Source organism: Homo sapiens, chromosome 14, assembly GCF_000001405.40.
Source record: "Homo sapiens chromosome 14, GRCh38.p14 Primary Assembly".
NCBI lineage: Eukaryota > Metazoa > Chordata > Mammalia > Primates > Hominidae > Homo > Homo sapiens.
The window spans coordinates 90,373,648-90,395,929 of record NC_000014.9 but is presented as its reverse complement, the minus strand read 5'-3'; the positions used below and the strand labels follow the sequence as shown (position 1 = coordinate 90,395,929).

The 22,282-nt window shown below is 43.0% G+C and overlaps 7 annotated features.

The window, feature by feature from the left end:
* Positions 11,554 to 11,703: an enhancer, noted in NCBI's record as "active region_8879". NCBI's record gives its function as "activates an Ori minimal core promoter by ATAC-STARR-seq in GM12878 lymphoblastoid cells {active_cell/tissue: GM12878}" and the evidence as "EXISTENCE:reporter gene assay evidence [ECO:0000049][PMID:35858748]".
* Positions 12,075 to 12,601: an enhancer, noted in NCBI's record as "H3K27ac hESC enhancer chr14:90849673-90850199 (GRCh37/hg19 assembly coordinates)". NCBI's record gives its function as "activates a minimal SCP1, AML or CMV promoter by ChIP-STARR-seq in naive H9 embryonic stem cells {active_cell/tissue: H9 hESC(naive)}" and the evidence as "EXISTENCE:reporter gene assay evidence [ECO:0000049][PMID:30033119]".
* Positions 12,244 to 12,463: an enhancer, noted in NCBI's record as "active region_8878". NCBI's record gives its function as "activates an Ori minimal core promoter by ATAC-STARR-seq in GM12878 lymphoblastoid cells {active_cell/tissue: GM12878}" and the evidence as "EXISTENCE:reporter gene assay evidence [ECO:0000049][PMID:35858748]".
* Positions 12,494 to 12,563: an enhancer, noted in NCBI's record as "active region_8877". NCBI's record gives its function as "activates an Ori minimal core promoter by ATAC-STARR-seq in GM12878 lymphoblastoid cells {active_cell/tissue: GM12878}" and the evidence as "EXISTENCE:reporter gene assay evidence [ECO:0000049][PMID:35858748]".
* Positions 12,602 to 13,128: an enhancer, noted in NCBI's record as "H3K27ac hESC enhancer chr14:90849146-90849672 (GRCh37/hg19 assembly coordinates)". NCBI's record gives its function as "activates a minimal SCP1, AML or CMV promoter by ChIP-STARR-seq in primed H9 embryonic stem cells {active_cell/tissue: H9 hESC(primed)}" and the evidence as "EXISTENCE:reporter gene assay evidence [ECO:0000049][PMID:30033119]".
* Positions 12,684 to 12,983: an enhancer, noted in NCBI's record as "active region_8876". NCBI's record gives its function as "activates an Ori minimal core promoter by ATAC-STARR-seq in GM12878 lymphoblastoid cells {active_cell/tissue: GM12878}" and the evidence as "EXISTENCE:reporter gene assay evidence [ECO:0000049][PMID:35858748]".
* Positions 13,129 to 13,656: an enhancer, noted in NCBI's record as "H3K27ac hESC enhancer chr14:90848618-90849145 (GRCh37/hg19 assembly coordinates)". NCBI's record gives its function as "activates a minimal SCP1, AML or CMV promoter by ChIP-STARR-seq in primed H9 embryonic stem cells {active_cell/tissue: H9 hESC(primed)}" and the evidence as "EXISTENCE:reporter gene assay evidence [ECO:0000049][PMID:30033119]".

Here is a 22,282-nt window from a genome sequence, read left to right as displayed (position 1 = left end):
AAAGTAGAGAAAGAACAATTTCAGCCAGTAATGTGAACCCCAGGACTTGTAAAAATCTAGACAAAATGCTGCAGTTTCTTTTCTTGCCAAGGCAGAACACAGAATTTGATCTTCTGTTTTACAGGGCCCGGGCAACAGTTGGAGGTTATCATTTGCTTACTGTTTCACAGAATATGGCAAAGTGTGTGATTAACATGCTGTGCTAGAAAGGGCTTTGCTTGCTTGTGTTTGTTTCTGCTTTCAACAAAGTCTGCAGGAATATGTTTTTTAAAAAAGGAAAAATGTACAGGCACATTGCAAATGCCACAGGACTTCTTGGGATAACCTTAGACAAGACGTCAGCATCTGTGGAGCTGTTCCTACTGATGTTCCTTCTGGAATGCCGCAGAAAGAGTGAACCTGCTGTTTAATTTAAAGAGAGGCTGCAGCAGCAAGCCAGGGGATGCTGCCTTCCCTCTGCAGATTAGAAAGACACTATTCACTTCACAAACCTGATCCTAATCCCTGCAAAAAAATAATAATAATACTCCTGGGCTCATAGGGGAAAACCTGAGTAGGAATAAAGCGTGCATACTAATGCGAGAGTTGGAGATAAGGAAATAGAAGAAAAGGGACTAATACAAATTAATTTTAAAGAATATGCAATAATCCAGTCAGTTACAAGCCTAAATGGCCAAACTCCTTATTAAAACTGCATCTTGGCCGGGCGCGGTGGCTCACACCTGTAATCCCAGCACTTGGGGAGGCCGAAGCAGGCGGATCACAAGGTCAGGAGATCGAGACCATCCTGGCCAACATAGTGAAACCTTGTCTCTACTAAAAATACAAAAATTAGCTGGGTGTGGTGGCGCGTGCCTGTAATCTCAGCTACTTTCAGTAGGCTGAGGCAGGAGAATCCCTTGAACCAGGGCATCGGAGGTTGCAGTGAGCCAAGATAGCGCCATCGCATTCCAGCCTGGTGACAGAGCGAGACTCCATCCAATAATAATAATAATACTAAAACTGCTTCTTTCCTAAGGGTATTGGTATTCTTTCTCTGGGGCTTTTCATATAGTAGTTAGTGAAATACATTTTTTCTTTTTTTTTTGAGACAGAGCCTCACTCTGTTGCCCAGGCTGGAGTGCAGTGGTGCAATCTCAGCTCACTGCAACCTTCGCCTTGTGGGTTCAAGCGATTCTCCTGCCTCAGCCCCCTGAGTAGCTGGGATTACAGGTACAGGTGCCTGCCACCACGCCTGGCTAATTTTTGTATTTTTAGTAGAGATGGGGTTTCACCATGTTGGCCAGGCTGGTCTCGAACTCCTGACTTCAAGTGATCCACCTGCCTCGGCCTCCCAAAGTGCTGGGATTACAGGTGTGAGCCACCGCTCCCAGCCAGTGAAATACATTTTAAAACATGATATGCATTGTATAAGTAGGGGGAAATAATGGCCTAGAAATGTGTTTAATTATTAAGGATCTACTCGTTTCTGATAGTCTTCCATTCCTTGTGATTATTTTGGTTAAGTTGCTACAATCTATGGTTTTGAAAGCCAAGCATTCTCTAAAATAATATTTTTCCTCTGTCATTAACCTTATTTCACCTAAATATAACATTTTGAAACTTTTTATGACTTTACTTGCTAAAAACTGTACATTTCAGAATCCTTTTACTTAGTATAGTAAAATTTATTTTCCTGATTCTTCATATTTTACAAACTAGAGTTCTATTTTGGTAATTCTTTAATGTATCAAAGCACATCTTTGCTTTCAAGTTCATCGGGTTTATAATGAGGTCATGCTTGCACAGTTTTATGGACATGCTTTTCACAGTTTGACACTCTGAAATATAAGAAGGTCAAGTGACTTGCCCAGGATCTTACTGTGAGTCAGGGATGGGGCATAAAATAGAGCTTGAGTCCTTGCTCAGGGGCTCTAATTTAGATAATATATTCGTGGTCTTGATATCCGAACATTTTAAAGGCCCAATGTTAGGGGTTTGTCTGTTTCATAAAGCAGATTCTTCTGACTGCCTATTTAGAAATCACTGGGTTTTCATTATCAAATAGACTGCTTTAAGTGAATACACGTCCTAATTTATGAAGAGATCAGCAATCAGGAGAATAAACCGCATTATTGTAATATCATAATTTACTGAGAACCAAAAACCTATGGAACATTTCATATTTAAAGGAAATTGTTCTATAGGAAGTTATTTAAATAAGATAAAAGTAAATGGAAGAAAAGTAAAAACGATGCAGCCTCAAGCCAGGAATCTCATGTTTAAGTATCATTTCCGTCACTAACCAAATCACTCTAACCCTCTGAATCTGACAGAAAGGACACAGATGTAACAAGAGTTTTGTACTTGATGTAGAAATTCCTTCTAGCTGTGAAACCCTGTGTCTGAGGTTATATGATTATAACATATACATATATAACCTCTGTCATATATATGTATACACACATATACATATATTGAAGATGGAGAAATGGAGAATGCAAATGGAGAAATGGAAATAGTTTAAAAATAACAATTACTTGCTCGGCATGGTGGCTGACACCTGTAATCCCAGCACCTTGGGAGGCTGAGGCATGTGGATCATGAGGTCAGGAGTTCAAGACCAGCCTGGCCAACATAGTGAAACCCTGTCTCTACTAAAAATACAAAAAATAAGCTGGGCGTGGTGGCAGGCACCTGTAATCCCAGCTATTCAGAAGACTAAGGCAGGAGAATCGCTTGAACCTGGGAGGCAGATGTTGCAGTCAGCAGAGATCGCACCACTGCACTCCAGCCTGGGCAACAGTACAAGACTCTGTCTCAAAAAATAAAAATAAAAAATAATTACTCAGCATTGACTATGGCCAGGCCTTGTGCTAAATGTATTATTTCATCCTCCTACCCATCCTGTGAAACAGGTATCATTATTCTTACAAAGGAACTGAGGCACTGAACGAGTCAGTGACTTGCCTAATTTAAGTGGAACCCAAAAATCTAGCTGAGAGCCCAAGCACTTAAGCATTACATTATAACTATCTCCTGCAATGTAGTAGAATTTATTTTTATTTTAATTTGGGGTAGGAGGCAGAAGTGGCAAAGATTAAGATGAAAATTTGGTTTATAAAGAGATACTTCTTACCCAATAATTTAAAATACGATCATAGGAATGTAGTAATGGCTCTATTTTTACATAAGGAATATGGAGTGTTTGGGGAAGAAAACCTAAAGCAAAACATTTAATTTGTGATGCTTTCTAGCTGGAGGACACTTCTCATTTTGCCTCTGAGGTCTAGAGAGGTCAAGAGGCTTGCTCACTGTCAAACATCCAATTGTGTGTGTGAGAGAGAGGTAGAGACACATATGGTTGGTTGGTTGGTTGGTTTGAGAGTCAGTAATACCTCTTCACCATCCTCGACTCCCTCCTTCTCCACCCCGTGGTCCAATAGTACTTAGATGAATATCCACCATTCAGGATTCTCCGCTTCACTAATCATCTCCAATTGCCAGAACAGATTCTTGCTGTTTGTGTTTGGATTTACATTTCATTAAATTCTATTCAGGATTATTACAAAAAGTTTTGTTATCTCTATCAATAAATAAAATACTCCATTATTTTTCCATTTAAAATTTTGTGATTATCTTTTTTGTTGTTATAATGTTTATGAATGACTCATATAGGTAATGAGCAGAGGGAACATTCTTACATTACATTTAAATTTGAAAATATGTTACCATCAGAACATAATAAGCAAGTGTTAGGCCATGACAACTTACCATGAGAAAAATATTATCCATTTTAGCATATAAGGCGTCTGTTTAGTGTCCCATGATTTTTTTTTTTTTTTTTTGGAGACGGAGTCTTGCTGTGTAGCCCAGGCTGGAGCACAGTGGCACGATCTTGGCCTCACTGCAAGCTCCGCCTGCCGGGTTCACGCCATTCTCCTGCCTCAGCCTCCTGAGTAGCTGGGACAACAGGCACCCGCCACCATGCCTGGCTAATTTTTTTGTATTTTCAGTAGAGATGGGGTTTCACCGTGTTAGCCAGGATGGTCTCAATCTCCTGACCTCGTGATCCGCCTGCCTCCGCCTCCCAAAGTGCTGGGATTACAGGCGTGAGCCACCGCACCCGGCTAGTGTCCCATGATTTCAAATGACTCATAGCCAGACTAACTGTCCTGTTGTATGTTCCAGCTTGTGATGGTCACCAGTATACTCAGTAGTCTGAAGTGCAGTATTTCCAAACAGCACCATTCACTAGCTTTGAGTGCCTCATTCTTGTTTTTTTTTTTTATTTTGAAACACTTTGCTTTTTATAGGAGAAAACATATCTTATCCTCCATTCACAGGATTTGTGCTTGTTTTGCTAGTAGCTGTGGTGATGGATTTGCCTTCCTCTGTTCCCTCTCTGGTCAAGCCACCCTCGTGACCAACGTCATAAATATGCAACACAGAAAGTGGGGTCCGGGATATAGAATAAGAACAGAGCAAAATAACTGGCCATTAATGAGACTGGACCCATGACTTGAGCCTCAGCTTTGGGCTTTAACCAACTGAGCCCTTAAGTCAAAGGCAGCCAGCAATGGTTACACAGACTTAGGGACCAAGTACTGTGAGTGAATTCAGATAGTAAAATGTCCAGTGGGATAAGATCATAGTTTTGTGCTTTAGTTGTTTACACTAACTTCAAGCTGGGTTTTTTCTTTCTTTTTTTGTTTTCTGAGATAGGGTCTCGCTCTGTCCCCCAGGCTGGAGTACAATGGCATGATCATAGCTGACTGTAATCTCAAACTCCCGGGCTCAAATAATCTTCTTGCCTTGGACTCCCAAAGTGCTGGGATTACAGGAGTGAGCCACCACGCCTGGCCTGGAGATTCTTTTTTTAAATTTAATTAATTAATTTATTATTATTATTACTATTTTTAGAGATGGGGTCTCGCTATGTTGCCCAAACTGGTCTCTAACTCCTGGGCTCAAGCGATCCACCCGCCTCGGCCTCCCAAATTGCTAGGATTACAGGCATGAGCCACTGTGTCCAGCCAGGCCTGGAAATTCTTAAACTATCATTTTCCTCATTAATCCGAAAGCAAGGGCAATAGTAACTTCAATTAGCATCCAAACGATAACCAGCAACTTCATATTTCAACATATGTGCTAGAATGCAGGTCAAACCATAGAACAGGTCTAAAGCTTATCCACGCAGCAACAGACATTTAGCAGTTTACAAATGATTTAACAGCTATTCAGTTGAGGGATATGTGGCCACAGCGATAAACTGAAATGGCAGGGTTTTGGGGTGACTCAGTTTGCCTGTAGAGCAGAACCAGTGATTGGCACAAATGGGTACTGTTGCTGAGGTCTTGATACACGGAAAACCAGACCATAATGATAAATCAGGTAAATTGATGCTGATTGTGGGTTATATTAAAGAATTGGCCCCACCAATTCCAACAGACTTAAGATCTAATTTGGCAACTGTGTGGTTTGGTTTTCAATCAATAAATAGCCTCTGTCCTGCCTTCTAGAGCTGTGCTGCCCAATCCAGTAGTCACTAATCACATGTGGCTATTTAAATCAAACTTAATTAAAATTTAAAATTGAGTTCCTCAGTCTTTATAGCCACATTTCAAGTGCTCAATAGGCCCATATGGCTAGTGGTTACCATATTGGGCAGCATGGAACATTTCCATCATTCCAATAAGTTACATCAGATAGCTCCATTCTAGAAATTTTAAAAAAGGAAGTATCTGTGTTTGCCTGGATCAGGAATGTTGAGGATCCCAAAATTTCTAATAGCACATCCATGATCTTTGTCTATCCCAATGAGCTTGTCCCCTTCTGATCCATCCAATGCACAGCTGCCAGCAGTTTCATCATGTCACTCCCATGCTCAAAAACCCTCAATGCCTCCCAATGCCTTTCAACAGTTTGCCAATCTACTTTTTCAGCATTACCATCCTTTGTTATTCTATACATTCTTTGCTTCAGACAAATCAGTATCGTCTCTGTCCCCTGAATATACATTGTCTCCTCTCAACTCATTGCCTTTTCCATGCCATTCCTAGTGTCCAAATGCCTATCCATATCCTCACCACCTATCTAAATCCTACGGGTCCTTCATGCCCAGTTTAAATGCAACATGTTTCAAACTTTCCTGATTATCACAACTCCAAATGAACTTCCTCTCCGCTGAATTCCTACCCCTCTTGTCCTTTTCTACCTGATATTATCGTTTCATATATCTAACATCAACCAGATAGTAGTAGAAGCCAAGATATACTTTTTGAACTCAGCATAGCATTTGACTCATTAAACACCAGTCAACTATTTAATTGATTAGTGTTGAGCTCAATTCACTCTCAGGACTGAAGAGGATATTAAAAGTGAATTTCTCAAAATACAAAAGGAAAAGAAAGTCCTTTGCTTTAATTCTGAAAGCAAGGTGGGAGGCCACACCTCCTGAGGAACATCCTGAACTATCCCTGCTTTGATCCCAACCTGTATCCTTCTACAGTCACGAGCAAGCGTATACCTTGGCTGACCCATCCTTTGGCAATTTTCTTCAGACTTTCACATAACTGGATCCATCCTCTGCTTCCTATAATGGAGAAAATATGGTCAAAGGGAAGTTGTCTTTGAACAGAAAAACCACCTCCATCTGAATCTAGTGAAGATGCTTATTGAGTTTTATTCATTCTAAGTTGAGGCTCTGAGTCATTGGCTAATAAACCAACTCCAGGCATCACAACGGGATGATTGAATCATTTGGCCACTGAAAAGATGTACCTTCAGGAGTGTTTTCAAGTTGTACAACTGAGTATCAGTGTGTCACCTTCCTTCTCATTCTCATTCTCATAAACCAAAAAGCATAGACAGAAAATTTGTCTTATTTTGATGAAGGGTTACTCAAGGCTTTGTTATTTTCATTGTTTTGACAAAGCAAATAGCTTTTTCCCAAGAAGAGGACCATATTGCTGCATCTCATTTGCTAGGTTAAATGGCTGATTCGTTGGCCACTTAGCCAGGCAGACTCAGCTATCTCATCTGTAACATTAGTGTAATAAACAAACCCTAGGGAAATATACGATGTGGTTGCGTATAATATTTAAAATATCATTGTGCTAAATGGCAATGGGTGGGTCAGAAATCCATTCAGAACCCAGGTCAGGGGGTCTGACTTAGTCTGCGGAAGGGCTCAGCAGTGGGAAGATCCAACTCGGTCTCCCATCATTTGGCAGCACCCCCAACAGGTTGGTACTCAGGGCACTGAGCCCTCAGCCGCCTCACCCTCCACCAGTCCCATGCAATTCTGCTGAGTCATCACTGTCTTCCACAGCAGCCCAAGAGATTTGTGACTCAGAGAACTGATTTGTAGTTTCATGTTTCACTGCTCCAGCTCTTCCCTGCCACACGAAGGTTCACAGTTGCACCTGTTTCCCACAAAGTTTGAAACTTAGGAAATGACCTTAAAACTGAATAGCAGCAAAACATATGAGCCATATTTTAAATGGTCTGCTGACACGGAGATTCTACTAGAGGCATTTCTGATTTTCAAGTCCTAAAGAAGGGGAAAGAACTGAGAAAAGGTATTCTGCGCTTTGTACCTGTGGGAACTTTATTTTTATTTTTTAATTTTTTATACAGATTCAATTGAGACCTGTGGGAACCTTTGCATATGGGAATACTTCGTGGTTTGAGCACACATTTCAAACTGTGTTCCGTATGGTGACACCATAGGCTCCCACCGAGCCATTCTGACTTTCGAAACTTGTATGCTGTGAATATTTGCTAGACGGCCAGCTGGGTTAGGGGGTTAGGATACTGCTGAAGCCTTGGAACAAGTTTCTCTTTCTGTGAAAGAGCACCATGCTCTAAACAAGTCCAATCATACTGTTTTAACCACCTGAAGAAAAGAAATCAAAATTTTAGAAAGCAGCCTAAAAGTCACATAATGGGAAATAAAGACATAAACATTATTCCTTTTTTATGCAGAACAAAGAGTTTATTATAAATGTTCTTCATGAAAAAAAAAACCCTTAGCAAACTGGGCTAGAAAGGATTTATTTTTTATAGATTTAAAGGGTACATTTTTGTTACATGTATATATTGCACAGTGGTGGAGTCTGGGCTTTTAGTGTGACTGTCACCTGAGTAGTATACGATGTACCCAACAGGTAATTTCTCATCCCTCACTGCCCTCCCACTTTGTGGAGTCTCCAGTGTCTATTATTCCACTCTGTATGTCCATGAATATGATTATTTTTTATTAGCACTTTGCAACACCCTAAAAATACCTCAGAACTTTATGAAATAATTAGAATTGTGCAGCCACATTCCTTTTTATGCATCACTCATCTAAAAAAATAAGCTTCTCTGAGCTCTTCTGGGAATAAGAAAGGGAAATGCTGCTAGCCTAAAGAAGACAGAAGAAATTATGATACAGTTTCACAAGGGGAAAGTGTCAGCAATTTAAATGAAGGTCAAAGATTTAAGGCAAGCGGTTTAGATAAGGCCTAGCACAGAGAACAATTCAGAACAGCCAGTCCCTAAATGGATAACAAAGTCCAAAGCAAAGCCTCCCAAGATTTTCCACAGTCACTTGGAAGCCCTGTGAATGATAACATTCCTCTACTCCCCTTATTATGATTGTTCTTTGATTAAAATGTTTTCAAAGGTCAAAGGAAAGAGCAGTCTAAAAGCCTGCTCTTTCCCTAACTAGTCCCTTCTCGGGACTTAGTTTTCTTATCTGGAAAATGTAAAAGTTAGACCAGATGGACTTTCTCTGGTTCTTCCCAGATTTAGAATTTCATGATTCTAAATATTCTTGCTTGTGAATTTTGTGAGGAACTTGTGCGGAATTCCCTAGTAACCAGGAGACTCTTAGAGATGTGGATGTATATACATCTGAGGTCACAGTGGACTTGTCTCAAGAGTTACAACTTTTTAGAAGTGTTAAAAATCTGCCTGGCATGGCAGCTCACGCCTGTAATCACAGCCCTTTGGGAGGCCAAGACGGGTGGATCACTTGAGGCTAGGAGTTCGAGACCAGCCTGACCAACGTGGTGAAACTCCATCTCTACAAAAAATACAAAAATTAGCTAGGTGTGGTGGCACACGCCTGTAGTCCCAGCTACTCCAGAGGCTGAGGCACGAGAATCACTTGAACCCGGAAGGCAGAGATTGCAGTGAGCCAAGATCACGCCACTGCACTCCAGCCTGAGTGACAGAATGAGACTATCTCAAAAAAAAAAAAAAAAATGTTAAGAATCATTATAGAATTCTGACTTTGTCAAATGGTACTCATATAAAATACTTAGGACAGACTAGACCATGCCTACTCAGATTGACTGATCGATTGTGACATTTACTTCCAAAAATTGCCCCCACCAAAAAAAAAGGAAGGACAAAAAAGAAAAAAATCCAAGGCCGGGTAGAAGACATCATCTCTTTCCAAAGACCAGAAAAGCAACAATAGATCAGGAAAGTGAGCAATTTTGTTTGAGTGAGTCAGATAGGTTTTTTAAAAGTCATTTTCTTCTAAATCCTTGTATTCTTCAAAGAATGTAACAGAATACATACAAAGGAGAGCTTGGAGATAAGCCCTGATATTTAAGATCATTAGTGTTCCATAATGATATTTCTTTAATTTAAAAATAAAAAATGGAGACAACTCAACCAGAGGAAAAAAAAATTGTGTTGAAAAAAGAAACCGAACCTTCTACATTGTAGATACTCCATAAATATTGGTTGATTTCTTTTTTGAGACAGGGTCCTACTCTGTCACCCAGGCTGGAGTGCAGTGGTGCGATCATAGCTCACTGCAGCCTCAAACTCCTGGCCTTTGGTGATCCTGCCACCTTAGGCTCCCAATTAGCTGGGACCATAAGTGCGCACCACCACGCCCGGCTAATTTTTGTTATTTTTTGTAGAGACAGGGTCTCCCTATATTGCTCAAGCTGGTCTCGAACCCCTGGGCTCAAGTGATCTGCCCACCTTAGCCTCCCAAAGTGCTGGGATTACTGGTGTAAGCCACTGCATCCGGCCTTTGATTGATTTTCTTGGGACTCAAAGACCCTTTCAAATCCAGATTCTTCTACTATTGTCCTAATTACTGTTCATTCATTCCTTCAGTAAATCTTTATCTAGAAATGTAAGGGAAATTCACTAGGCACAGACAATATCATGATGAATCGAATAGGCCTTGTCCTTAAGGAGTTCACAATTTAGTGAGCTCATTTGCTGACGACTAAAAAGCAAGTTTTACATGTACTAGGATTGAAGTAATAAGCCTCAAGGAATATTTTGTGGCACACCAATTCACATTTAGATAAATGTAGTTCAGGCTTCCTGGTAAGCCTAACTTCTCTGTAAAACTGGGACCCTTTCCTCTGGAAGTATAATAAATATTGGGAAGACTGAATATAAAAATAAACATATAAGCAACTTGTACAATGTCAAGCATTATACACAGAAACAGATAAGCCTAAGTATAATGACATAATGAAGTTATGGTCCAATTTCTCCACAGTGGAATCATATACTAGAGCTGGAAGGGAATCTGGAAATTCTCTAATCCAATCCTCAAATTCTACATACTAGAAAACTGAGGTCCCAGTCAGGCGCGGTGGCTCACGCCTGTAATTCCAGCACTTTGGGAGGCTGAGGCGGGCGGATCACCTGAGGTTGGGAGTTCAAGACCAGCCTGACCAACATGGTGAAACATGCCTGTAATCCCAGGTACTTGGGAGGCTGAGGCAGGAGAATCGCTTGAACCTGGGAGGTGGAGGTGGAGTGAGCCGAGATCGCGCCACTGCACTCCAGCCTGGCGACAGAGCGAATCTCCGTCTCAAACAAACAAACAAAAAGAAAACTGAGGTCCCAAGAACACAGGAAAGGAACTTACTCAAGAATTCTCAATTTGTTATTGGCACAGTTAGATCTCTTTTTTCACATCAGGATCTGGCTTGCTACAAAGAAGTCACAGAACATGTTTCCTATACCATATAAATTGCAAAAGAAACATGTCGTATTGTTTTTGGGGCAGGTATTTTTACAGTGAAATGCTCATTTGGAAGTTCCAATATATTTGCTCACTTGGCAAACATCTTTGGGAATGACTACTAACCGCCTACAGAAAGAAAACCACAGCTTTTCTCCTTTTTGAAGAAGACTTTGAGTAAAAGTTTAAGAAGCAATAAACAGCAACTGACAAGTATAGCCTTAGATCAAAGAACCTTCACTTGACTACAGCGCAGACACCACTACTGGTTGTAAAACCTCAGGAAAAACCATTAGTAACACAATCTTAGAAACAGGATGTGAATATAGTTCAATCACAAAGATCAGACATCCAAGCCACCTTGTGCCAAAGTCACAGATAGATGTTTGGAGGTTACACGAAACAGCAGTTTTAAGAAATCCACACGATTTAATTTTCTTAGCTAGCCTCTTGGAACAGTGACAATAACCAAGTAATGTTTCTTCTCTACTTTTTCTGTAGGCCACTGACTGAAAATTCTGCTCAAAGAAAACAATTCTCTTCATTCCCAGGTCTGCCTTCCAGTTCCCCCAAATGCTTGAGCCATCTCACGACTACAGCTTCAGCTCTGGAAGACGCAGTGTTACTGTGTGTGGTAGAGAAACACAGGCTTGGGAGACAGCCAGCCTGGGTAGCTTCTATTCTGTGCTGTGCTACTAAATTGCTGTGCGACGTTAGGCGTGTCAATCGACCTTCTTGAGTGTCAGATTTTTCACGGCACTGAGGGCTGAGAGGTACCTTCTGGCACGACACAGACCATGGCAGCGGATGTGGCCCATGGGAGAGGTTATCTCCCCGGTCCTTCGCCTCTACCTAGGAGGGCCTTCCCCACAGAAGCAATAAGGGGCTTAAGGGAAAGGAGGCCAGGAGCTTCCCCTCGGTTTACCCGGCCAGCGAGGGCCAAGCAGCGGCTCTCGGCTCCTAGAGCGCTGCGCGCTCCCAGGCGGGCTCCTGGCCGCGTTCACTCCGCAGCCTCTGCAGCTCCAACGCAGCTGAAAACCCGAGCCCAGCGGGCCCCTCCTGCCGCAGGGGATAAGGAAACCTTAGGAAGGAAATGGAAACGGGCCCTTGTAGAAACAAAGTGCCCATGAGGGTGCTTCTCGGGTGGCCGGGCCCTGAGTTCCAAAACAGGAAGGGTCGGCTCGGTGGCAGTTCGAGTGCGGGTTTCGAGCTCAGGGGCGTTTATCTCATTTCTGCGGCGCCAACTGTTTTCACAAAACGCGAAGGACGAACGGCAAAGAGCAAGGGGACAGGCGAGGCTAGTTCAGGTGGCCCTATGGAGGGCCACGGGCCGCAGCACGGGTATTTGGTATTATTTTTCAGTCAAGTTTCTGTCTCGGGGGAACCACCGCCCGTCAAGCGGAGAGGAAGAGCAAGCCGCACGCCCAAGCCTTTGGAGCGCTCGCGGGCGGGGCGAGGCAAGGGCGAGGGCACTATATCTCCCAGCGGAGGAGCACACGGCGGTGTCGTCACACACGCACCGGAACGCGGTCTGTAGCCGGTTGCTTAGTTGGCGCTGCTGAGGCTTCTTTCCTCGTTCAGTTTGACAAGGACGCTCTGATAGGCCGGCGCGACCCTGCAGTGGTTGGCCGAAAAGAGCCGCGCCGTCTGATTGGTCGCGCTGCACCTGCAATGCGTCAAGCCGCGAAGGGCGTGGAGGGCTCCGCGTGAATGGTCGTGGCCGGCAGGGTAGCCTGCGGCCTTCGGAGTGAGCGGCTCCGCCTATGGCCGCCATCTTTACTAGTGGCAGCGCGGACAGCCCCGGACGGAAGGGGTCTTGGCGGCGCTCTTTGGCCAGTAGAAATAGGCTCTGCGCCCGAGTTTTGTTTGGGGTTTCCTTTTCCTCTACGGCGGGTCGTTTTGTTTTTCCCAGGTCCTAGGGATGTGGTGGGGGTAGAAAGCGAGGCCCCGGGGCTCGGGGCAGAGCTCAGGGTCTGAGGAAGGGTTTAACTACCGTTGTAATGAAACCGCTTGATTTGCGTTCTGTGGGCTCGGGCAGTGGGGTGCGATTTGATTCCATTTCTCCCAGCAGAAATGAGATTTGCTGCCTGGGCATCTTGCTGGAGCCGGAGAGCCGTTCTGGAAAACTCTCCCGAATACGTCATGGTTGTTGCTCACGCTGTGCGCGGTCCCGTCGGCACAGAATGCGTTTTTGCTTTTGAGAGCTGTAAATCAAACAGCCGCGCTGGAAACTATTTCTCAGCTCCAGAGGCGGTCGCCTGCAGAGGCAAAACTCAGCTTGCCTGACAGACGTGCCACGAGACGTTGGCTGAAAATTATTTTGATCATACCAACTAACTTGTCTTTTTTAGGCAAATGTTGTTTGTGTGCGCATCCGGTTTTCATTCGTCTCTGATGTCCAACCCCGCAAAAAAAGAGTGGGGGAGGGGGAGGAAAGGAAAAAACCTCTTACTGTATCAAAAGTGGTCGTTGTTTAGGACTCACCCTCCCTTCAGTGGATATGGGTGAAAAATTAAAGACATGTTCCGTGGATGAATTAGAGATCGGGGAAATGGAAAAGGTCGTGGTTGTCTCAGTTTAGCGGGTGGGGATATCTTTTGTTGGTTTATTTGAACTGCGTAGGTGCAAATTCGGTGGATTGTGGATATCCAAAGGTGAATTCTGGATATCCAAAGGTGAATTCTGGAGCTGCTTGGGTGTGGGTGTTGCCATGGCGACAGGAGGAGGTAGCTGGTGAATTGCAGGGTCAATAAACCTGGCAGGGCCAGGCCCCTTAAGTGTATGGAGCATTAGTAGTACGTTACTACCGTGGTTTATCTATCCTGGCTTTCACCATTCCATCCCCGGCCAAGATTCCTGGATCGATCAATGCAGGCACACTCGGGCATGTTGATTTTCTGTATTGATTAATACAGGTATACTCACTACCGTGTGTAGATTTTCTGATTAGATGCTGCATCTGGGAGCATAGTTTTTGTACCATTTGCCATACATTTTGATTTGCAGATTATTGCTGTTCTTGCTTAATCTTACTGGTTTTGGACATTTATGTATTGGCTTTTTTGCCTTTTCCCTTAGGTCAGCCGACACCTTACCTTAGGGTACCTTGTGCTTAAAATTAACACTTCATATTATTGTAAATCAGTGTAATGTCAAAGCACTGAGTTCCTGGGCATGGCAATAGAAAGAAACTTGCAGCTTTGCATAATCTCCGTGTAGCAACAGCCACTCTTGTCTCTGTACAGAGCACACAGTGTCTCAGTGTTCTTTGACAGCTGCAGTGCTAGGAGCCGGCCACTTTGCTTGCTGGGTGAGGTAAAGCGGAGTAATAAATCTTGCAGAGACTCGGTTTCTGTGATATGAAGAGAATCCAAGCTACCTCATGGAGTTCTTGTGAGGATTGCATGATATGTGAATGTGCCAGAACTGTATAAATTGTAGAACTGTTGACATAATGATATGCAGTTACTAATGGATTTGTTGAGTCTGACCTTATGAGAGGAAGATTTTCCTTCAGGATTTTCCATCTCATGGGAAGAACAGATGGACAAAACTCAGATCTAAAAGAAACCTTAAATAGCATAGTTTTGTAATGTAGATAGTATTATTATAGCCTTATTAGCATACAGTGCCAGATTTGAGGGGCGCTTAGGATGATGAGCTCATCGTAGTTTGCTTGGATTTTCCTGGTTTTAGCATTGAATGTGTCCTGGAAAACCCCTCTGTCCCAGGCAAACCAGGACAGTTGGTCACCCCTGGACTCTTTTCAATGCTGAGAGATGGGAGGAGGAACAGAATGAGAAATGCAGATTCCTACTGTATAGAGATGATTCAGGTTCCCTGCAGCTGAAGGCGACTGGACATAAGAAATCAGATGTCCTCTTATGAAATAAGGGTGGGCTGCCACCTGAAACTCGACACATCCAAAGTCAAACTGAGAACTTTTTCCATTTTTACTACTCTTCCTTCCCTCAGTCCCCACACATTGTTGGGTTTTTTTTTTTAATTTTTTTTTATTTTTAATGTTTTAAAGTTTTCCTATTTAATTGTAGTCTTTGTTTCTGGTAAAGACATTACCAGACTTTTAGGCCCTTAGAGTGAAGAAATTATTTTTTATGCCATGGATCCCTTTGCCAATTTGATGAAGTCCGGTGCCGTTGGTGTGTTGCCTGTATTCGTAATTGAAGGCATGCTACATTTAACTTAGAGGTTAATGAAAATAAAGATGTTCTATTTTTCTGTCCAAGTTTATGGACCCCTCCTAAGTTCTCTCCGTAGACTCCAGGTTGAGAACACCTGCTTCCTCTCCATCACCCCCCATTGAAGTTCTCTTTCCACTCTGTCTCCTTTCACATCTTGCCTCTTTGCATTCTCACTGCCACCACTGTAGTTCAAGATACCGTCACTGTCTTCCTGACTATTGTGAAAGTCTCTAACTATTGGTCTTTGCCTTAGTCCATTCCTGATACTGTAACAAAATACCACAGGCTGGGTAATTTATAAACAACAGAAATTTATTTCTCACAGCTGTGGAGGCTGGGAAGTTGAAGATCAAGGCACTGGTATATTTGGTGTCTGGTGAGGGCTTGGTCTCTGCTTCCAGGATGGCACCTTGCTGCAGCATCCTCACGTGGCAGAAGGCAGACGGGTGAAAGGGGATAAATGCTGTGTTCTCACGTGAGTGAAGAGCTGGAAGGGCCAAGCAGCTCTCTGATGCCTCTCTTATAGGGCCATTAGTCCCACTCACGAAGGTGGAGCCTTTATGACTTAATCACTTCCCCAAAAGCCCTAGTTCCTAATACCATCACCTTGGGGTTTAAGTTCTAACATATGAATTTTGGAAGGACACATACATGCAAACTAATGGTCTCATCCCTAGTTCCATTGTATGCCCAGCTGATAGTCATTTTCCTAAAACATACATCTTACTATGTCATTTCCCTGCTCAAAAGCCTCAGTAGCTTCCCATGGCCTCAAAATTGAGTCCAAATGCATTTAGGAGCTCCTTCAGGGCCCTCCATAATCTGCCTTTTCAGTCCTAACAACCTGCCACCGAAATTTTAGTCATACAAATTGTTCTTCAGTTGTGCATTTCTCTCTCCACCTTTATTCATGTCGCTCCCTTGGCCTAGATTGCCGATTTCCATCTTTTCTGCCCAACACAGTTCTAATATCCTTAAAGGTTTACTTCAAATGTGAAGGCAACTGAAATAAACTCTTCCTCCACTGGGCTCCCTCAGCACTTTATTTCACTGTCTTCTGTTACCACGTTCTACTTTCATAATGGGTATTTGTACCAATTGTGAGTGTGACCCTGGGCCATGAGTATGTAAAAATGTAACAAACGTGAACCTTGGTTTTTAAAGGACTTATATTTTAGGTTGGGAGATAATGTGAACCTAAATAACACTTTTTCAAGATAGGAGAAAATAACAAGTATTTCAGGAGTCCAGAGAGAGTTTGCTCTGCTAGAGGGATCAGAGCCTTGTGGGGGAAGGTGGCATCTTCAGCACCCCATATGGATGTACATAGAGAAGGCATTCCACACACACAACACCAGGAAAAAAGTCAAAGAGGCTGAAAGAGCAGGGTGTGTTGGGGAAGGGGAAGAAGTTTAGTCTGTTATTAACGAGCATCATGAACGACCAAGCTGGTATCAAGTTTGTTAAGGCCAGATAGGGAATGGCTACACATTCCAGGCAAGAAGATAAGACTATCCTGTATGCATGGAATCCACTGAAGAGTTTTGAAAAGAAACTGACAAAACTCAAAGGTGATTTAAGAATATCAAATGTGTTAGCAAGCAATGAGTTGAAAAAGGGGGAAAAAATAAAAGAATACCAAATATGGCCAGGTGCCACAGCTCACGCCTGTCTGTAATGCCAGTACTTTGGGAGGTGGAGGTGGGTGGATTGCTTGAGCCCATGGGTTTGGGACTAGCCTTGGCAACATGTCAAAACCCCTTCTCTACAAAAAATACCCCTCCCAAAAAAAAGAAAAAGAAAAGAAAAATTAGCTGAGCGTGGTGGCGCATGCCTGTGGACCCAGCTACACAGGAAGCTAAGGCAAGAGGCTCACTTAAGCCTGGTAGGTCGAGGCTGCAGTGACCTGTGATCATGCCACTACATTCCAGCCTGCGTGACAGAGCAAGACCCTGTCTCAAAATAAAATAAAATAAAATAAAAAGCCAAATGTGTTAGCAAAGTGCAAGGTGAATTTTTTCTTTTCTTTTTTTTTTTTTTTTTTTTTTTGAGACAGAGTCACGCTCTGTCGCCCAGGCTGGAGTGGTGCGGTCTCAGCTCATTGCAACCTCTGCCTCCCAGGTTCAAGCGATTTTTGTGCCTCAGCCTTCCCAGTAGCTGGGATTACAGGTGTGCATTACCACACCCAGCTAATTTTTCGTATTTTTGGTAGAGACAAGATTTCAACACATTGACCAGGCTGGTCTCTAACTCCTGGCCTCAAGTTGATCCACCGGCCTAGACCTCCCAAAGCGCTGGTATTACAGGCATGAGCCACCACGCCCAGCCACGTGGTGAATTTTACAAAGGACTATAGATAGGGAGACTAGTGAAGGCAGTAATAAGAATAATAGCAAATACTTATTGAGCACTTACAGTATGCCATCCAATATTTTTACTTGCAGTATCTCATTTATTGCTCACAAAAACCTTGTTATTTACTCCTTTTCACAAATAAGGAACTTTAGGCTTACAAAGGATAAATAACTTGTCCAGGTTCATCCAGAGCTGGAAGTTGAACTCATTTTCTGGTTTGTAGTACTCAGCCCCTAAGTTAATTATGATCTGAAAGTGGTTGCAGTGGGTTTAGGGAAGGAGAAGATGTAAGAAATGATAACTTTTGTAAGTGATAGTATTTTTGTTTTGCTTGTTTTTTTAGAGACAGGGTCTGACTGTCGCACGGGCTGGAGTGCAGTGGCATGATCATAGCTACTGCAGCCACAAACTCCTGGGCTCAAGCTATCCTTCCACCTCAGCCTCCTGAGTAGCTAGTACTATAGGCATTAGCCACTATGCCCGGCTAATTATTTTAATTTTTTAATTTTAATTATTATTAAAATTTTTGATTTTAATTATTTTGTAGAGATAGTGTCTCACTATGTTTCCCAGGTTGGTCTGGAACTCCTGGGCTCAAGCAGTCCTCCCGCCTCGGCCACCCAAAATGCTGGGATTTCAGGCATGAGCCACTATGCCTGGTAATATTTTTGTACTCTATATTTGAGGTGAAGAATGAAAAAACAACAAATATCACCATAGTTGGACTAAATTCCTGGGCTTTTTTCCCCCAGTAATGGCCTCATCACATATTTCCTAGATACTTTTCTATAGTAAAAAAATAAGATACCAGTAAGCAAAATATGTTGCTGCAGATATGCCTCACTTTAAGAAAAGTCATAATAGCAAAATGGGGAAAGAGTTTAGATACCAGTTGGATTTGGCCTTCTGCTGGAACTTCTTAGAAGCCTCACAGAAGGAAGTGGCAGCACCACTGGCTTGGAGGTGTACTTTTATGCTTTCAAATATTCCCACTGGGGACATTTCCCAAATATAAACTGGAATTTTTCAAGGCATTTGCCTCTGGGTAAAGATCTTTCTTGGGCTAATACCTGTTTCAAAATCTATAATGGGACCAGGTGCGGGGTGGCTTATGCCTGTAATCCCAGCACTTTGGGAGGCCAAGGCGAGTGGATCATCTGAGGTCAGGAGTTCAAGACCACCCTGGCCAACATGGCGAAATCCCATCTCTACTAAAAATACAAAAAAATAACTGGGCGTGGTGGCACATGCCTGTAGTCCCAGCTACTTGGGAGGCTGAAGCAGGAGGATCACTTGAATGCAGGAGGCGGAGGTTGCAGTGAGCCAAGATTGCTCCACTGCACTCCGGCCTAGGCAACAGAACGAGACTCCGTCTCCAAAAATAAAAATAAAAACAAATAAAAATCTGTAATGATTTCAGGGCACTGGAGGAGTGATTTCCTTATCCTCTGGTCAAGTCAGCAAACTGCCCCCAACCCCCCAACACAAAAGTAGCATAAGGAGGTTGAGCCAGGGAGTGCGCCCTTCAGAAACCGCTGGATTGCTTCCCATTGCCCTGGTGCTCTCTTCGTGATAGCTGAAACCTGTAAAAAGAGGAGCAGGAAGGGGCAGTCTTCATTTATTCCAATACCTTCTATTCAATACCTCATACTTCCAGTCTTTTCCTATTGCAGATAGCACAATTAAACCCTGTATATGTGAAAAACTCCTTCAAACCTAGACTTCTCACTCAGAGGCTATCACCTTTAGAAATTCTAGTATATATTGTATAATACACTGACTGCTTTTTTCCCTTTGCTAATATTCTTACACCACTTTGTATGTTTTATCATTCCAATTAGATCATATGTTCCTAAAAAGCAGAAATTACCTTAACAAAGTCCTCCCACCGCCTGCACTATCGTCCGGAATGTAGTAGTCACTCCATCTTGATTTGTCATTTTTCTCCTCTTTTCTCTGATTTATCTTTCATACTGATCATGTATCTCTGATGGCAGCATTAAAAAAGTTTAATGATACTCTACATAAAAGTTATTTACTCAGATTTCATTTCACAATGTTTATTGAATTCATTCTATGTGCCAGTTTCCTTAGAATACGAGTGCTGATTATTTTCTTTTGGGGTCATAGTTCTTAGGAAGTTTTCGGATCATTAACACCTTTGAGAATTTAATGAAAGTCATAGGAACCTTCTCCCAGAAAAACACACATACATTAACGTACAGTCATGCATCACTTAACAGTGGAAACATGTTCTGAGAAATGTGTCATTAGGCAGTTACATCGTTGTGTGAACATCATAGAGTATGTTTACATAAACCTAGGTGGTGTAGACTACTATACCCCTAGGCCATACTGAATAACCTATTGCTTCTAGACTACAAACCTGCACAGTATGTTACTGTACTGAATACTGTAGGCAACACAATGGTAGGTATCTGCAGTGCTTGTTTATCATCTTGAAAAAATATTTTCATCAAAGAGAACAGTGATTGTATGAGTTATTTTCAGAACCACTTACCAATGGGTTTTTTGTGTTCTTTCCTTTGTACTGATGTTTCTGATTCACATCAGCATTTGCTAAGTTTTATTATGGAAAGGGTGGGGCATGATGGCTCACACCTGTAATCCTAGAACTTTGGGAGGCCAAGGCAGGCGGATCACTTGAGGCCAGGAGTTCGAGACCAGCCTGGCCAGCATGGTGAAACCCCATCTCTACTAAAAATACAAAAATTATCTGGGCCTGGTGGCTCGCGCCTATAGTCCCAGTTACTCAGGAGGCTGAGACAGGAGAATTGCTTGAACCTGGGAGGTGGAAATTGCAGTGAGCCAAGATCATGCCACTGTACTCCAGCCTGGACGACAGACTGAGACTCTGTATAAAAAAAAAAACAAGGATTTTTTATTACAGAAAGACTGATGAAGCCAGGCATGGTGGCTCACACCTGTAATCCCAACACTTTAGGAGGCTGAGACAGGCAGATCACTTGAGCTCAAGAGTTTGAGACCAGCCTGGGCAACATGGTGAAACCCCATCTCTACCAAAAACTCAAAAAAATTAGCTGGGCATGGTGGTGGGCGCCTGTGGTCTCAGCTACCTGGAAGGCTGAGGTGGGAAGATCACTTGAGCCCGGGAGGTGGAGGTTGCAGTGAGCTAAGATCACGGCAGGGCACTCCAGCCTGGAGACAGAGCCTAACCCCGTCTCAAAAAAAAAAAAAAAAGACTGATGAAGAGTAAGCCCTGTCATCTAGAACCTGAGGCTGTGTATATGAGATCAATTAATTTGTGTAAAATATGTGTGTTAAATGGTGCAGAGAGGGAGCAAGAGCTGTTATTTGAGAATTTATTCTGCATGTGAATAACTAACAAAGGGATTACTGGACACTGAAAAATGTTTACAAAGGTCCACAGCTCCTTGCCTGTGCCTGGAAACCTGTTGCAATTTTTATTATTTCAGTAAGACAAGGCTATTGAGATTACTAAAAAGGATGAGATTCCAATTGACTTTTAGGAATCCGGTATGACAGATTTCTTTCTTGCTGGATGAAGTCTTTTCTTTTTTTTTTTTAAGACGTAATCTCGCTCTATTGTCCAGGCTGGAGTGCAGTGGCCAGATCTCGGCCTACTGCACCCTCCGCCTCCCGGGTTCAAGTGATTCTCCTGCCTCAGCCTCCCAAGTAGCTGGGACTACGGTTGTGTGCCACCACGCCGGGCTACTTTTTTGTATTTTTAGTAAAGATGGGTTTTCACCACGTTGTCCAAGCTGGCCTCAAATTCCTGACCTCAGGTGATCTGCCTGCTCGGCCTCCCAAAGTGCTGGGATTAAAGGTGTGACCCACTGGGCCCAGCTGGGCTGGAGTCTTTTTTTTTTTTTTTTCTTTTGAGACAGAGTGTCGCTCTGTTGCCAGGCTGGAGTGCAGTGGCACGATCTCAGCTCACTGCAATCTCTGCCTCCCGGGTTCAAGCAATTCCCCTGCCTCCGCCTCCCAAGTAGCTGGGACTACAGGTGTGCACCACCATGCCAGGCTAATTTTTTGTATTTTAGTTGAGATGGGGTTTCACCATGTTGGCCAGGATGGTCTCTAGCTCCTGACCTCGTGATCCGCCCGCCCTGGCATCCCAAAGTGCTGGGATTACAGGCGTGAGCCACTGCGCCTGGTCAAAGCCTATTTTCAAAGGTAAAAAGATCTGATTACAGCGTGAAGAATCTCTCTTCTACCAATAAGAAAGATCTATAGGCAGTGCAGACATCATCAGTATTATCAGTGAGTGTTACTGTGGTTCTTGCGTATGCAAGGCACTCGGCGGGGTTCCAAGCTTGTAAAACCCATTCCTGCACTTAAGTTCTCAGGACTAGATTGTAACCAGGATGAAGCCAGAGACCATGTTTTTGTTTATGCAGGTTTTCATTACATATTGCTTGCTTATATTCTCAATACTTAACAACCATGTCTGGCATGTACTAGTTGCTAAATAAATATATGTTGAACATCTTGAATCAATTAAAATAGCTGGAGAGAAAAAAACAGTTAAATGAAATAAGGAGAACGTCTATTTTGTAATGTTGCTTGTATTTCATGTATGTAGTGTATGTATTTACTTATTTATTTATTTTATTTCGAGACAGAGTCTCACTGTGTCGCCCAGGCTGGGGTGCAGTGGCGTGACCTCGGCTCACTGCAACCTCCGCCTCCTGGGTTCAAGGGATTCTCATGCCTCAGCCACTCGAGTAGCTGGGATTATAGGCAT